Genomic DNA, 16,244 nt, shown 5'->3' with positions numbered 1-16,244 from the left:
TCAATAAAAAATTACTAGATATGCCAAAAAAATGATAATATGTCCCAGAATCAGGTGAAAAATCGATCCATGGAAACAACTAGGAAACAGAAATAACAAGGATGCTAAAATAGCTATTATAATCATATTCAAATATACAAAAGAAAACATGAAAACAGAGAAGAGTAAAATATATAGAAGAGGAGATATTTTAATGATGCCAATGGAACTTCTAGAGATGAAAAATGCAATGTCTGAAATAGGAAATTCACTGGGTTAGAGTAACAGTAAATTAGATACTACAAAAGAAAAGATTAGTGACTTTAAGACACAACAATAAAAATAATCCAAAATGAGCCAGGCACAGTGGCTCATGCCTCTAATCCCAGCATTTTGGGAGGCCAAGGCAGGAGGATCATTTTAGTCCAGAAGTTTGAGGCTAGCCCAGAAAACATAGTGGGATATCACGTCTACAAAAAAAAAAAAAAATGTTTAAATTAGTTGGGTATGGTGGTGTGTCCTCTGGTCCAAGCTACTCAGGAGGCTGAGGTTGAAGGATCACTTGAGCCCAGGAAGTTGAGGCTACAATGAGCTGTGATGCCACCACTGCACTTCTGCCTAGGTGACAGAATGAAATCCTGAATAATAATAATAATAATCCAAAATGAAGCACACCATCAGAAAAAGACTAAAAAATTAACAGAGTCTCAGTAAAAATATCAAGCAGTCAGCCACATGGGTAAGTAAAGACCCAAAAAGAGGGGATGGAAGGTAGATGACAGAAAAAATATTTTAGGGAAAAAATGGCTGAAATATTTCCAAATTTAATAAAAACTATAAATTCACAGATCCAAAAAGTTCGATAAACTTTAAGCAGGATAACACAAAGAAAACCACTCCAAGGGACATAATAATCTAATTCCTGAAAAATAGTAATAAAGACAGGATCTTAAAAATAGTGAAAGAACAAAAGACCCATTCAACATAGAAGAATGTAGGTAAGAACAATCATAGATTTCCCATCAACAACAAAGCAAGCCAGAAGACAAAGGAATGGCACCTATGCACTGCTGAAGGGAAAAAAAACTGTAAACTTAGAAATATATAGAAATATATACCTAGAAAAAATATATTTTTAAATGACAGTGAAATAAAGACTTTTTCAAAAAGTTGAGAGAGTGCACTGCTAGGAGACTGTTACTACAAGAAGTGTTTTAAAAAGTTCTTCAAACTAAAGAAAAATAACACCAGACAGAAACTTAGCTCTCTACAAAGGAATAAAGAGTGCCAGAAATGATAATCATGTGGGACATATAAAAAATTATTTTTCCTATGAAAAATTGTCTTTAAAGGTTGACTGTTTAAAGCAGAGATTGGCAAACTTCTTCTGTAAAGGATCATAAATAGTAATTGTTTGGGGCTTCAAAAGCCGTACAGTCTCTGTCACAGCTACTCAAGTGTCCACTGAGGTGTAAAAGCAGCCATAAACAATAGGTGAACAAATAGATGTGTCTATGTTCCAATAAAACTTTATTTACAAGAACAGAGAGCAGGCAAGATTTGATTCACAGGCCATAATTTGCCAACCACTGGTTTAAAGCAAAAATGATAACAATGTATTTTGGTAATTGTACATACATAGAGATAAAACCTACAAAAGAAGTAGCAAAGGATGCAAAGGGGTAATGGAAGTATGCTGTTGTAAGAGTTTTGCATTACACACAAAATGGTATAATTCTATTTTAGGGTAGAGTGTGATATGCTAAATAGGAATATTGTAAACCTAGTGAATTCCCAAAATAAAATAAGATAAAATAAAGTGGTATGACTATTAAACCAATATTTAATACTAAAAATTCTCAACTGATCCAAAAGAAGGCAAAAAACAGACACAAATTTTAAAAGAAAAACAACAAAATGACAACAACAACAAAACAGATGGAAGAAAGAGAAAAGAAAGAGCAAGATGGCAGATTTAATTCCAACCATGTAGACAATTGCATTAAATGCAAATGGTCTAGACACCCCAATTAACAGACAGAGATTGTCAACTGCAAAACAATTGCCAAGTATATGCTGTCCATTCAAGATATAAATATGTAGATACTAGGTTACAAGTAAAAGGAGGAAAGAGATATACCCCGTAAGTGCTAACTGGAAGAAAGCTGGAATGGCTATGTTAACATCAGACAAGGTAGACTTTGAACCAAGGGATATTACCAAGGATAAGGAAGGATGTTTCATAATGATAAAGGGGTCAATTCATCTTGAAAAATGACAATCCTTTTAATATCCTAATATATATAAGTCAAAATAAGTGAAGCAAAAACTGACAGAACTGAAAGAAAACAAATTCATAAGTAGAGTTCTAGACATCCACCCTCCTTTATAATTCATGGAATAATTCATGAAAAAAAATCAGTAAGAATATAAAAGACCTGAACAATACTGTCGACTAACTTGATCTAAGAGACATTTATAGAATACTCTATCCAATAAGAGTAGAATATACACTTTTTAAAAATACTTATAGAACATTTACTAAGATAGTATAAATGCTGGACCATAAAACAAGTCTCAATAAATATAAAAGGATTAGAATTACACAGAGTATGGTTTCTGATCACACTGGTATTAAATTAGAAATCAACAACAAGAAAAGTCTGCAAAATCCCAAGTTTTCAAAAATTAAATAATAAACTTCTAAATTACCCAGGGTCAAAAAGAATTCATAATGCTAACTAGAAAGTTTGTAGTCCTTAAAGAAAAATTCAGTTTTATATGCTTATATTAGAAAAGAAAACCCAAAGTCATGATCTAAATTTCCGCCTTAAGAAGCTAGAGCCCAAATAAGTAGAAGGGAGGAAATAATAAAATCAAGATCAGAAATCAGTGAAATAAATCAGTGAAATAAAAAACAAGTAATGGGATCAAAGGCTATTTTCTTTTTCTTTTTTTTTTTTTTGAGACGGAGTTTCGCTCTGTCGCCCAGGCTGGAGCGCAGTGGCGCGATCTCGACTCACTGCAAGCTCCGCCTCCCGGGTTCACGCCATTCTCCTGCCTCAGCCTCCCGAGTAGCTGGGACTACAGGCGCGCGCCACCATGCCCGGCTAATTTTTGTATTTTTAGTAGAGACGGGGTTTCACCGTGTCAGCCAGGATGGTCTCGATCCCCTGACCTCGTGATCCGCCCGTCTCGGCCTCCCAAAGTGCTGGGATTACAGGCGTGAGCCACCGCGCCCGGCCTCTTTTTTTTTTTTTTTTTTTGAGATGGAGTCTCGCTCTTTCGCCCAGGCTCACTGCAAGCTCCGCCTCCCGGTTCACGCCATTCTCCTGCCTCAGCCTCCCGAGTAGCTGGGACTACAGGCGCCCGCCACTGCACCTGGCTAATTTTTTGTATTTTTAGTAGAGACGGGGTTTCACCATGATAGCCAGGATGGTCTGGATCTCCTGACCTCATGATCTGCCTGCCTCAGCCTCCCAAAGTGCTGGGATTACAGGCATGAGCCACCGCGCCTGGCCTGATCAAAGGCTATTTTCTAAAGAGTAGTACAAATGATTAAATTTCTATCTAGATTGATCAAGAATGAAAGAGAGAACATACAAATTACTCATATGAGGAATGAAAGAGGGAGCTTTATTACAGATTCCAGATGTTAAAATGATAAGAAAATATTATGAATAGCCTTATGCCAGTACATCCAATTAAATGAGAAAATTTATTGAAAGACAAACTACCAAAATTACCAGATGCAGTGGCACACACCTGTAATCCCAGCTACATGGGAAGCTAAGGCAGGAGAATCATTTGGGCCTAGGCATGTAAGACCAGCCTGCGTCTGGGCACAGTGGCTCACACCTGTAATCCCAGCACTTTGGGAGGTGAGGTGGGAGGATTGCTTGAGCACAGAAGTAGAGGATCAGCCTAGGCAACATAGCAAGACTCTGTCTCTACAAAAATTTAAAAAACAAAAAGTTAGCTGGGCACAGTGGTGCACACCTGTAGTCCCAGCTACTTGGGAGGCTGAGGCAGGAGGATCACTTGAGCCCAGGAGATCGAGGCTGCAGTGAGCCAAGGTGCACTCCAGCCTGGGTGACAGAGCAAGACCCTGTATCTAAAAATTAATTAATTAATTAAAAATAATAATGCCAATCCTACACAACCTCTTCCAGAAAGTAGATGAGGAAAGACTTCCCAAACCATTCAATGAGGCAAGCAGTGCACTGATATAAAAATCAGACAAAGGCATTTCAAGGAAAAAAAAAACCCTATAAACCAATATTACTCATGAACAAAGATGTAAAAATTACTTAACAAAATTTTAGCAATTTGAATCCAGGAACATGTAGATTAAATGAGACTTATGTGACATATCAACCAATCACAATGTGTAAAACTTATTCGGATCTTGATTGATACAAAGTATAACAGAAATTTTAATACTGGCTAGATATTTGATTATAGTAAAAATTATTATTAAATTTCTTTGTGTTAATAGTGGTATCAAAGTAAGGATGTGAAAAAGCAGAATCATTATCTCTCGAGATACATAGTGAAATATTTACAGATGAAATAATATGATGCCTGGATTTGTTTCCAAATATACTAGTTTCTCCTTTTCTGTGAGGGATATGTTCCAGGACACCAGTGGCTGCCTGAAACTGTGAATAATAAGGAATCCTATATATACTATGTTTCTTCCTATACTGTATATTCACACCAATGATAAAGCTTAATTTATAAATTAGGCACAGTAAGAGGCTAACAATAACCAATAACAAAATAGAACAATTATAACAATATACTGCAAAAAATGTTATGTGAATATGGTCTCTCTCTCTCTCTCTCTCTCTCAGTCTCTCAAAATGCTGTAATATCTTCAGACCGTGGTTTACATGGGTAACTGAAACCCTGGAAAGCGAAACCACAGGTAATGGAGACTACTGTAATATCAGGACCGGGGAAGCGAGAGAACAAAGATGAGTAAAACTGGCCATGAGATCTGGGCGTGGTGGCTCACGCCTGTAATCCCAGCACTTTGAGAGTCCGAGGCGGGTATATCACGAGGTCAAGAGATCGAGACCATCCTGGCCAACATGGTGAAACCCTGTCTCTACTAAAAATACAAAAATTAGCTGGGTGTAGGGTGTGCGCCTGTAGTCCCAGCTACTCAGGAGGCTGAGGCAGGAGAATCGCTTGAACCTGGGAAGCAGAGTTTACAGTGAACCAAGATCGTGCCACTTCATTCCAGCCTGGCGACAGAGCGAGACTCCGTCTCAAAAAAACAAACACACAAACAAAACAAAAACAAAACTGGCCATGAGTTGATGTCATAGCTGGATAACATATATGTGTGAATTCATTATACTATTCTCTTATTTTTTTATTGTTTGATATTTTCTATAATAAAAAGGGTTTTTTTTAATAAAAAAGTTTATCTATTGTGCCAAGGTAACATCCACTATCTCCAAGTTTTACCTCTATGGGCACCAACTTCAGAAATACCAAAAGCATGCATGGAAACTTGTGGCATTTATTAGAGAAAATATGCTGCAAGCAGTCGTTTCTTGCAGTGTGCTGTGTACATTGAAGTGGTCCCTGGTAATTAGGACACAGCTTCCCTTTGGGAAAGTGCAGCTAGGCCCTAAAAGCACCCTTGAGAGGAATGCCAGGGCCTCAGAAGGTTCAACCTCAGATCCTACAGGAGCGAGATGGCAGGAGGCATGGGACTCTGAGACTTCCCCTCCTCATCTTGCTGTGAGCAGGCCCTGATCACTAACTTCCTATGCTCCCACTGTGCCTGCTGCTACTGAGCCTGGATCCCACATGGCCTGGGTTTGGCTACGCATTGCCCTGCAATGTCATCTGAGATCTTTCTGAGGGAAAAACCCAACAAAGCCATCAGCCTTCAGGGGAGTCTGATCCCTGTTACCTGGGTTACGCTCATGAGAGTATGAGCCCTGGAGAGTTGGCAGGAGCTCTCTGATGGTCTCTGATGGTCCCTGGCATCTGGCCCCATCCTCCTCTTTGCACAGCCCAGGTCCAGCTGCTACGGGCAGGAAGGACTGCCAGTCACTCTCACAGACTCCATGCACACCACAGCCTGAACAGCAGCAGCTGTCAGAAGACCCAGGTCCTTGTCCCAAGTCCATCCCTTCTTAGCTGTGAGACCCTCTCTAGCTAATTCACTTCTTTGAGCCTCATCTCTAAGATGATGATAACAGTAGCTCCTCATGGTAATGTTGGAGCATCAAATGAGAAAATGCAGGTGAAAACTCTTTGTAGAGCACTACACAGATGCAAAAAGCCATTATCAGCCCGAATCCCTGGAACAGCTCATGATGAGCCTGTCACTTGGGAAATGAACTAAACTCTTGGAGCCAGTTGGATGCAAACTTAGAAATCCACTAGGTCAGCCCCTCATATTCACAGGTGCATCTGAGGCCTGCAGAAGGACAGTGCCTTATTCATGGACCTTGGCTGTCCAGTTGGGACCATCAGGGTTTCACACCCTTGCCTGGGCTCAATCCATTGCACTGCCTCACATGGCAGAATCTCTGATTTTCAGCATTTACCCAGAAGTCTCAGGGAGCCTAACAAATTCAAAACAAATGTTCAAGGAATTCTACCAAAGCAAAGTCCCAAGGAACTTGGAACAGAGTCATCCCAATCCTAAGAATGCTAACTGGAAAAGCAAGAGGCACCTTGTCCCTCAAATGGGTGGGATGGTCTGCCCTAGGTGGGCCTGGGTGGGCTCTCATGATGGATCTGGGCTACCCCAACAGGGGATGTGGTTCCTCGAACCCTAAAGAAGTCTGACCAGGACCTGACTCAAAGAGAAATTAGCCCCTAAGGCAGCAGTGTCTCCAGCCTTTGCTGTTGCCACCAGCCTGTAAGAACTTGCTAAGTGTCTAAAGGGGTCACAGGAATATCCCACAGACCTAAAGCCACAGGGTTAACCCAGAACTGTGTTTTGGAGATTTCTTGTGCCAATGTGTCATTTTTGGCCTTTGTATCTAAACATCACGCTGAACTTTATTTTCCACTTTTAATGTTCTTGAACATGGTGTGGTCTGGTTGCTGTACAGACCCTAAGTTCTTCCCAGAATCTGGCCCTACGAGTGCCAGCACCATCCTATGGGTGACTCCAGGCTCAGGGAGCTTTGGGAGCTTTGCTGAGGCAAGGTTGCCCGGAGGGGAAAGGACAATCGGAGGTGCTCACCCTCCACCCACCCTCTGCCCACAGGTCCCAGGTACTTAGAGACCTCCACCTAGGCAGGGCTGCAGCTGTGACAGAGTGGGGTATAGTCCACAATGGGGAGCAGAGTTAGAACTGAGAAGCCAGGACTGAGTCCAAGAAGGAGAGTGAAAAGAACTCAGGCCCTGGGTTGCGGCTTAAGGTCAGGATCAAGTTATTAGGCATGGGCAAGAAAGAGAGGGGTTTGGGATGTATCCCCCAAGGCTTCCACACACTCTCAGGCCAGGGTTCCCAGCTGAGAGAAGCTGCTTGGGTTGGGTTAAGATATCCCAAAGTAGGAAAAAAGGCCAGGGTAACCTCAGGGGGTGGACGACCTTGGGCTGGACATGGGCTTGCAGCCCAGTTTCTGGAATGACCTAGGGCAGAAGTCTGTGGTCTCTGATGGTTCTCTAAAGGGGATAGGGGATGCAACAGACACACTCCCCCAGGGCTCCTTGCAGAGGATGAGAGTAGCCCTTCCTATAATGCATTTCCTGCCATCCAATTACCAGGCTGCCTATCTCCTGGCAGAAGCAGCCTCTCTAGAAAAGAGGGCTGGGATGCAGTTAGCACAATCAATCACAAAACCCCTCGGCGCCACTAGGCTGGCCCCCGCTGGAGCAGAGCTAATTACAAGGGAGGAGAATCAGCATCCTACTTGGGAAGTGGGAACAAAACAAGCAGAAAGAGCCCAAGGGTGGACCAGGCGGGCCTCTAGGCAGGGCCTCCTAGCATCCCCTGCTAGGGCAGGGACCAGCCTCCCGGAGCCTCCTTCTTTCTGTTTCTTGGGGCAGGTAGTGGTCAGGAATGCAGACTGGTTTAAATGATTAAGAAAGACAAGGAGGTTTGGCTCTATAAAGAAAGCTGAGGACAGGGCCAGCACCTGTGCTGCTCCTCCTGCCATCTCCCCAGGATGAGTCCCACCTATGTCACCTGTTCAGTCCCACTTCCCTGTAGGCCCTTGTGTGTGTTCCAATCACTCAGCCATATGCAAGGGCCCTGAGTACTCCGTGTGTGCTGAATTGAATTAAATGAAATTGACTTGACTGCTGAGGGACAGAATTCAATCCAAATTGCAATTAAATCTTCCTAATTTGAATCTGCTAATTGGAAAAGGCTGGGCAGAAGTTGGCTGTAGTGCAATCTATCTTTTATGGAATTGTTCAATTTAATGGAGAGTGTACCTGAGAATGAGCAAAGGACTGAAGAAAATGGAACATGTGAAAGCCACGACTTCCTGCACCTAGAAGCTCCCATAGCATTCAACTGACTGGAACTATTCTCTGGAATCATTCCTGGGTGTGCATGGGAAGGGCTCCCAAAGCAACCCTGGACTAAGCCTGACAAGTGGCTGAAAAATGACACAACGGCACATCAATCTTTAAGATAATTCATTCTTTTCCATTGATAGATTATTTTACACTCCAAAACAAAACAAAATGAAACAAAATATTTTTGACCTAAAAGTTGCAAGAACAGCATAAAGAATTCCTGTATACCCTTCACCCAGATTCCCCAAATGTCACCATTTTACTGCATTTCTATTTCCTTCTCTCTCTGTCTCCCTTTCTCTCTCCCCCACAATGTATATACTTACACGCACACACACACACATACATATATACCCACACACAATCCTCTGTGAAGATAGATGATAGATTAGATAGATAGATTTTTTTCCCCTGAACTCTGCAGGCATGATGCCTTTTACCTCTGAATATTCAGTGAACTGCACATCTTTTTAAGTTTTCAAGGGTTCTGATCCAACTCTAGTTAATATCAGCTCTCTTATGAGCTAGAACCAGAATCTGGTGGGACCCAGGATCCAAAACCAAGCGACCCTGCATCTCAGGACAACAAAGATATCTGTGCTGAGTGAGGGAAATTATGGGCAGATTGCTCAGGGGCCCATTATCTGCAAAGACTCAGCAACAACACCACCCTCAACCTCTCTCCCCAGCTCCCCTCCTCAGTCCTGACCTCTGACCTGGCTGGCTTTGCCTCCATCCTTCAAGATGCAATGTAAGCCTGTGTTTACACAGCCACCCCACCCAGCACTGCCTTGCTGGCATGCCCTGGCACTTCTCTGTGGATCCCTTGAGATGCACCTGCTCCAGAAAGCCTTCCTGACAACCCAGTTCCTCGGAATTCTCCTTTCTGCTCTCCCCCCAGGGACCACTGGTTCATATCCCTCACTGAGCCTGGGAAATGTTTTCTATCCCTGTCCCCCTCCCCCACTGCAGGACCATGAACACTGTGTCCTACGATGGGCATATAATAGCACCCAGTAATATCTGAGCTAATTGCTAGAACCAGGCTCACGTGGGACCATCTGGCCCAGAGGGTGGCTGGGAGCAGAGGCAAACGCTGGGGCCTGAGAACTAGGCCTCCTGCGCCATTCAAAGTGAAGGAAAACAGAAACTCCACAGATCTGGCAAGACCTCCCTCCTCCCTCCCTTCCTCCCTTCCTCCCCCAGGGGCCCTGAAGACTCACCAGTCAGTGCCCTCAGCCAAATACCTGGGCTGAGGTGTCTGCAGTTGGCCGAAGTCGAAGCTGGGATGGAGGCGGTGGGGGTGGACAGATACACGCTCCTGACTCCGCCTGCACCAGAAGGGATGGAGAGCCCTCGTGTCAGGGGCTACCCAGGCCACTAGTTCTCAAGAGCTCTGAGAAACCGGGGCAGCCTGAGGGTGCCCCACTCTTGCAGCCCCACTTAGCACCCACAGTCTAGCAAGCACTGAGCTTCACCACTCTTGACAAACTCCAAGGAAGCTTCCCAGATGAACTGCTGTTCATCTGCAGCTCAGGAACTCTGGCTGTCTCCGGGCTGCCCGCTGTGCAGAGGTCTCTCCCTTGGTGTGTCTGTGGTAGATTACCTGGCTCCACCCACACTCTCTGCCTCTTTGCCTTTCTTCCCTCTGTCCTTGGTGGGCCATCTTCAAGACACACAGACTCGCCTCCTACAGGCTCTATGCACCCCTCTACTCCCATCATGCTCTTCTCCTCTCCTCAACCCTTTTTCAACACTCTTCCCAGCTTTCATGGCACAGGTCAAAGCCTTCCTCCTCCAGGAAGGCCTCCTTGAACATCCCAGGTCATGGTGACCTCTTCTCCTTCTGACCTCCTACAGCGCTCACCTTCTATCTCAAGCATCCCAAGCCCTATGGTCATGTATGCTTAGGGCCTTAGAGATGATCTAGTCCAGCAGTTCTGAAAGTGTGCTCCGAGCATCCTTGGGAGTCCCTGCAACCCTTTCAGGTGGTTCAAGAGGTCAAAACCATTTTCCTAATAATACTATAAGGCTATTTGCCTTTTCACTCTCATTCTGTCACAAATGAACAGAGAGGTTTTCCAGAAACTACATGACACAGATTCTGCAAGAATGAATGCAGAAGCAGACATAAGAACACAGCTGCCTTCTATTAAGCCACGCATTAAAGAGATTTGCAAATATGTTTTAAAAAGTCATTCTTCTCACTAAATTTATATATAGTGGTTATTTTTCATAAAAATATATTATTGGTGTTAACATGAATTTGTTGTTATTTTTAAGAGAATTAATAAATATTTAAAACTTTTTAGTTTTTATTTTTAATATGGTAAACATCAATAGTCAAAACCCACATAAACAGAAGCTCTTCGTAGTCTTCATTAATTTGTAAGAGTGGAAAAGAGTCCTGAGACCAAAAAGTTTGAGATCCACTGACTATCCAACTCTTTCTCTTGACAGTTGAGGCTCAGAGAGGCACAGTGACTTACCCAGGGCCCCACAACTACTCCAGACCTATTTGATTAGAATTGTCTAATTTCACTCCCTGCTTGTTTCCTAATTATTAATATGCAGCCGGACTCTATCTAGACCGTGGGCTCTTGAGAACTCTTGAGGGTGAGAATTCTTGAGGGTGGGAACCAGCCGTTCCTGGAACCAGCCATTTCCTTTTGGTATTCTTTAGGGTGCTTGGGTGTTAGAATCAGGCAGTCATAAAGCTGGAGGGGACATGAGGAGTTCCCTAGTCAAATTTCCTCCCGCACCATGCAGGAGTCCACTGTGAGGATCGTGGACCACCAGTTACCCGTCCCCGACCCTGCACCTGGGTGATGCAATGGGGACACACACTGGCTTCTGAGGGAGCCCCTGTCAGATCAGGACAGTGCTCACTGCCTGAAGTGGATGCCTCTGAAACAATAGCTACTTCCTACAGAGACCCACTTGGTGACTGCCGGCCAGGCCAGGGAGAGAAGCCAGGAGTCTAGGAGCCTGTAGCCCCGCCCCCGTCTCCGCCACACCCGGGCCACGCCCTCGTCCTGGCCCTGCCCACGCCCTGGCCCTGCCCCCTCACCCGACCCCATCCGGGTCCCCACCTCCGCCCCAGGCAGCACCAACCTGGGGTGCGAGACCAGCCTGCGGTGCTGGGCTTCCAGGAGCTGCTGCTGCAGGAGGTATTGCTGGTGCAGGGCCTGAGGTAGGAAGGAGGGACCTGTGACGTCCTGGAACTGCAGGGTGGGCAGCGGGGTCAGCGACTGGTGCAGGGCGCCGCTGTGCTGGTGGGCCGGGGCCATGTGGGCGCTGAGGCCTGGCTGCGACTGCACGGGGTGGGCCAGCGGGAAGTCGGGAGCGAGCTGCTGCGGCTGCGGGGGGCCCAGGTGGAAGTGGCGGCAGGAGGTAGCGTGAGGATGCTGAGACCTTTGAAAGGGGGCACCTGGAAGGCAAGGACAGAGACATCTCCATGACGACCAGCACGAGCGGCCGCCACACTGACCCTTGTGCCCACCCGGGGCAGCCTGGGGCTGGTGAAGCTCAAGACCTACATTAGGACACAGCAGCGTCATCACTGTTAGAGGCATGTGGTCATCCTTAACCCAGCCAGGTGAAGGCTGTGTGCGTGTACCTGATGGAGGGGGAAGTGTTATCTTTATTTTTTATTTATTTATTTATTTATTTTTTGAGACGGAGTCTCGCTCTGTCGCCCAGGCTGGAGTGCAGTGGCGCGATCTCGGCTCACTGCAAGCTCCGCCTCCCGGATTCACGCCACTTTCCTGCCTCAGCCTCCCGAGTAGCTGGGACTACAGGCGCCCGCCACCGCGCCCGGCTAATTTTTTGTATTTTTAGTAGAGACGGAGTTTCACCGTGGTCTCGATCTCTTGACCTCGTGATCCACCCGCCTCGGCCTCCCAAAGTGCTGGGATTACAGGCGTGAGCCACCGCGCCTGGCCGGGGAAGTGTATCTTTAATGAATACATAAGCATCCTTTTTATAATTAACATACTTGTTTAAAAGTTTTAAGGTTCCTAAAGCTTGGCCTTTTGAATTAGACTCCTATGCAAGCCCACTGACCCTACTACCTTTTTAAAGATGCCACATGGAGAAAAGTTAGTCCAGCCTAGCCAAGCTCAGAATTTCACTGAAGCCTGGCCAGCCAGGACTCAATCCATATGGAGCCCTAATTCCCAGAGAATAAAACAACCAGAAGTTGTTTTGCATACACTTTTAAGGAAAAAAAAGACTCAGATCACACGAAATAGTTTTTAATTTAAGTAATAGTTAAATAATGTGTTATAACATTATCATTTATTTAAAAGCAAACATGTCCAGGTATAAGCTGGGTTCAGGCTACATTCAATTTGAGCTCTAGTCCTTTTCTAAATAAAATTGAGCTTGATGACAAGAAAACCTTACAAATTCTCTCTAAGCAAAAATCCAGCTCTAGGTGCCAAAGGGAGGCCTTTAATGAGGCCAAGAAGTAGACCCGGCATTTCAGAAAGATTTACAGAAAACTTGCTGCTAAACATGGCAGATTCAGTACATGTCTGCTCCTCCCAATACCCACTAAAATGAGAACAAAGGAATAGAGACAATAAACAGACAAGGACAGATAACAGGAAAGGTGACATCAGCAGGCAACAGATGTCAACAAATTTTTGGAAGAAAAAGAAAGCAGATGGAGGAATTAGCAGAGTTGAGAAATTGAACACCAAGCACCTACCAAAGGAGTGGTCAAGAAGGAATGGACAAGTCTTGCTGCACAATGCTGGAAGGGTCAGGAATTGGAGGCAGTGGCTACTTTGGAAGGCAGGAGAAAGGGCAGAGCCGAGAACAGGGAGACTGATTGCAATCTGTGTAAGGAGCAATTCTGCCCAGGGCTCCTCCCCTTTCTCATGCAAGGCAGTGACTTTCTTTCCAGAGAGGCTCCAATAGGAGTGGGGGTTGACCCGAGGCAGGAGAGGGCAGGGGTGCAGCACCATGCTAACAAACACAGCAGGATTAAGTGAAAGTCTGAATATGGAACTTTGGAATCCCTCTCCTCTTCTACTACTTGGTGCCAAAAACACTGTTACCTAAGCGTGTGCCCCTCCCCTGCACCCTCCACAGCCCCAGGGTGAAACTGGGGGATGCTTCTCTAAAGAAAATCATTGGTCCTAGGAAGAGCTCTGCAGATACTTCTGGTTGAGAGCACCCCTGATAAATCACTGGGTCCCCAACTGGCCACTGTATAATGAAGCCCATTCATTGAAAAGTCCATTCTCACCCTCAAGGCACACAGACATTCTAGACAGCTTTAGTGACCTACTCTTTGGCATGAACAGAGAGCCTAAGAGTGATCGGTCGTTTGATTACAAAGTGAAAAGAGAAAGAGAACCTACCAAATTTTTAAAAATGAACTCAGAGAATCATGTCCTTTGCAGGGACATGGATGAAACTGGAAACCATCATTCTCAGCAAACCAACACAGGAACAGAAAACCAAACACCGCATGCTCTCACTCATAAGTGGGAGTTGAACAATGAGAACACATGGACACAGAGAGGGGAACATCACACACCGGGGCCTGTCCAGGGGTGGGGGGCAAGAGGAGGGAGAGCATTAGGAGAAATACCTAATGTAGATGATGGATTGATGGGTGCAGCAAACCACCATGGCACGTGTATACCTATGTAACAAACCCGCACGTTCTGCACATGTATCCCAGAAATTAAAGAATAATTTTTAAACAATGAACTCGAGGAACAGAGTTAATGCAAGGGCTAGAAAAAAATTAACTTCAAAACAATATAATCCATACCCTCAGGAAAATAAGATGTTGGATCCATGCAACAACAGGAAGCTCTTGAAGAAGGATCAATGAGAAAACAAGAAAAGGAGCTCTTGGAAATTAGAAATGTACGAGGTGAAATGAAATTCAACAGGGCAATTGGAAGACAAAGCTGGGGACTCTCAGAAACCGGAATGAGAAGACAGAGAAATGGGGAATGGGAGGAAAAAAGATGCAAACGTTGAAGGAACCCGTCAGAAATTGCACATTTCACTGGAAAGAGAGAAAGAATGGAGGAAATGATAGGGAGAAAATTAGGAACAAAAACTACAAAGCCTGTTTCCTAGAACTGAAAGTCTGCATTTCTAGATAGAAAAGGCCTCTGAGTGCCCAGCAAAATGGATGGGGGAAAGAACCCACCCGAAAGACATCTCCCTGTGAAGTGTCCAAACAATGAGAGCAAAGAGGTGGTTCTGAAGCCTTCCAGAGAAAAATCCAACAGGTCCCATGAAGGTCAGAAATCAGAACAGCTTGAGATTTTTCAAGAATTAATCCAGAAGCTTGAAAACAATAGAGCAGCTACCTTCAAGGTATTGAGGGGGAAGGGTGATTTCCAATCTAGAATTATCTGCCCAGCCAAACCATTAATCAAGTATGAGAATAGAATAAAGCCATTTTCAAACATATAGGAGCTCAAAAAAAATTAACCTTCTCAACACTCCTTCTCAAAAAGGTACTAACACAAACCAAGAAAGAGGAACAACAAAATAAGGCTGCACCTGACAGAGGTGGAAAGCTTCCCAAGCACACAGCTGCGCAGGGATCTCTGCAGCCATTCCACAGGGGAGCAGGAGGGCGGGGACTCTGGGAGGAGATCTGGAGGAGAGGAGAGGGGACTGGAAACAATGGGACTGCTGACAAATGTGGCCACATGAAAACAGTATTACTGCACAGTGGCTCACATCCATAATCCCAACACTTTGGGATTACTTAGGAGGGTAAGGCAAGAGGACCACTTGAGGTCAGGGGTTCAAGACCAGCCTGGACAACATAGCAAGACCCCATCTCAATAAAAGAAAGGAAAAAAAAAGAGTATTTTAAAAAATAGTATTTGAAGGAATTTTATAATGTGATAGAGAGTTTGGTAAGAATTTGTAAAAATGCTATGGAAAACAAAACAATCCAAAGAAAGTGAGGCAATTATTATGACCAGGAAAAGAAAAAGTTGTTTAAGAAACTGTAACTACCTGTATGATGTTATACTTGGCTCAACAGTAAACATCATTTCTATATTAACAATAAAACAAATAATAAGCTATATTAGAACAGAAAAGGACATTTCTTCCACAATATGAATAACATAAGCAATATCAGAAATTTAAAAATAGACAAATAGAAATCTAATCTTTGGTTGTAAATTTGCTTGGTAATTTATGTCTTTCAGGAAAGAAATGCCTGAAGAAGAGTTAAAAGCGCACTGCGGTTGAGGGATTTTGCCTCTGGTGTGGAGGGCAAAGGGCAGACCGAAGCTGCTTGGCTCAATGTGTCTTATGCTAGTCTATTCAGCCTTGTATATTACGTGCATGTCACTGATCAATTTTTAAAAATAAATCTTTGCAAAAAGAAATGAAAATCCAAAGAATTTCTGCCTGACTGCAAGTGAGCCAGAAAAGAATTATCTAGAACTTTAATTCCCACAAGGATTTCCATAAGTCAGGCCTCTCTGCCTTATAGATTCTGGCTTTGGTGAGTCCGGGGGCTGCAGCATGAGCAAGCGGCACCGGACCCCCTTCCCTTCACTCCATGGTCTACCATCACACAGGACAAAGGGAAGGAGACTGCCAGTGTGACAGAGGGAAGGAGGGCAAGAAAAGGGAAGCACAGTAGAGGGATAAAGAAGAGAAGTAGAAGATAAGCATGTCTATAAAGGAAAAGAATGGGGTGAAAACGGGTATTGTCAAGACTCTCACCCAGCACTGTCCAACAGAATTATAAT

General features: G+C 44.4%; 1 protein-coding gene and 1 long non-coding RNA gene across 6 annotated transcripts in view, besides 1 other annotated feature; one reads left to right on the top strand and one right to left on the bottom strand.

Moving 5' to 3' along the window:
* The window catches only part of ARK2C (arkadia (RNF111) C-terminal like ring finger ubiquitin ligase 2C), a 129,123-nt gene that overhangs the window by 18,034 nt on the left and 94,845 nt on the right, over positions 1 to 16,244 (bottom strand). For 2 of the 5 annotated variants that reach the window (NM_152470.3, XM_011526016.4), the window contains exons 2-3: positions 11,602 to 11,917; positions 9,711 to 9,818 (exon numbers count right to left, since the gene is read on the bottom strand). The exons of 1 other annotated variant lie outside the window; for it this stretch is intronic. In NM_152470.3, coding sequence (NP_689683.2) covers positions 9,711 to 9,818; positions 11,602 to 11,917 — 424 coding nt within the window. Of the gene's footprint in view, positions 1 to 5,221; positions 8,832 to 9,710; positions 9,819 to 11,601; positions 11,918 to 16,244 lie in introns of those variants that run through there. 2 more of the 5 variants (XM_017025788.3, XM_024451191.2) reach the window with 2 other exon arrangements.
* Positions 9,297 to 9,797: an enhancer, noted in NCBI's record as "H3K4me1 hESC enhancer chr18:44015273-44015773 (GRCh37/hg19 assembly coordinates)". NCBI's record gives its function as "activates a minimal SCP1, AML or CMV promoter by ChIP-STARR-seq in primed H9 embryonic stem cells {active_cell/tissue: H9 hESC(primed)}" and the evidence as "EXISTENCE:reporter gene assay evidence [ECO:0000049][PMID:30033119]".
* On the top strand, positions 11,580 to 15,875 carry LOC124904293 (uncharacterized). The gene is made up of 2 exons (XR_007066355.1): positions 11,580 to 11,680; positions 15,693 to 15,875. It is a non-coding gene; the product is annotated as an uncharacterized LOC124904293 (long non-coding RNA).

The sequence above is a fragment of the Homo sapiens genome, chromosome 18 (genome assembly GCF_000001405.40).
Source record: "Homo sapiens chromosome 18, GRCh38.p14 Primary Assembly".
In the NCBI taxonomy this organism is placed as follows: domain Eukaryota; kingdom Metazoa; phylum Chordata; class Mammalia; order Primates; family Hominidae; genus Homo; species Homo sapiens.
Note: the sequence above shows the minus strand (reverse complement) of the source record. Positions and strands in the feature narration are given on the sequence as shown.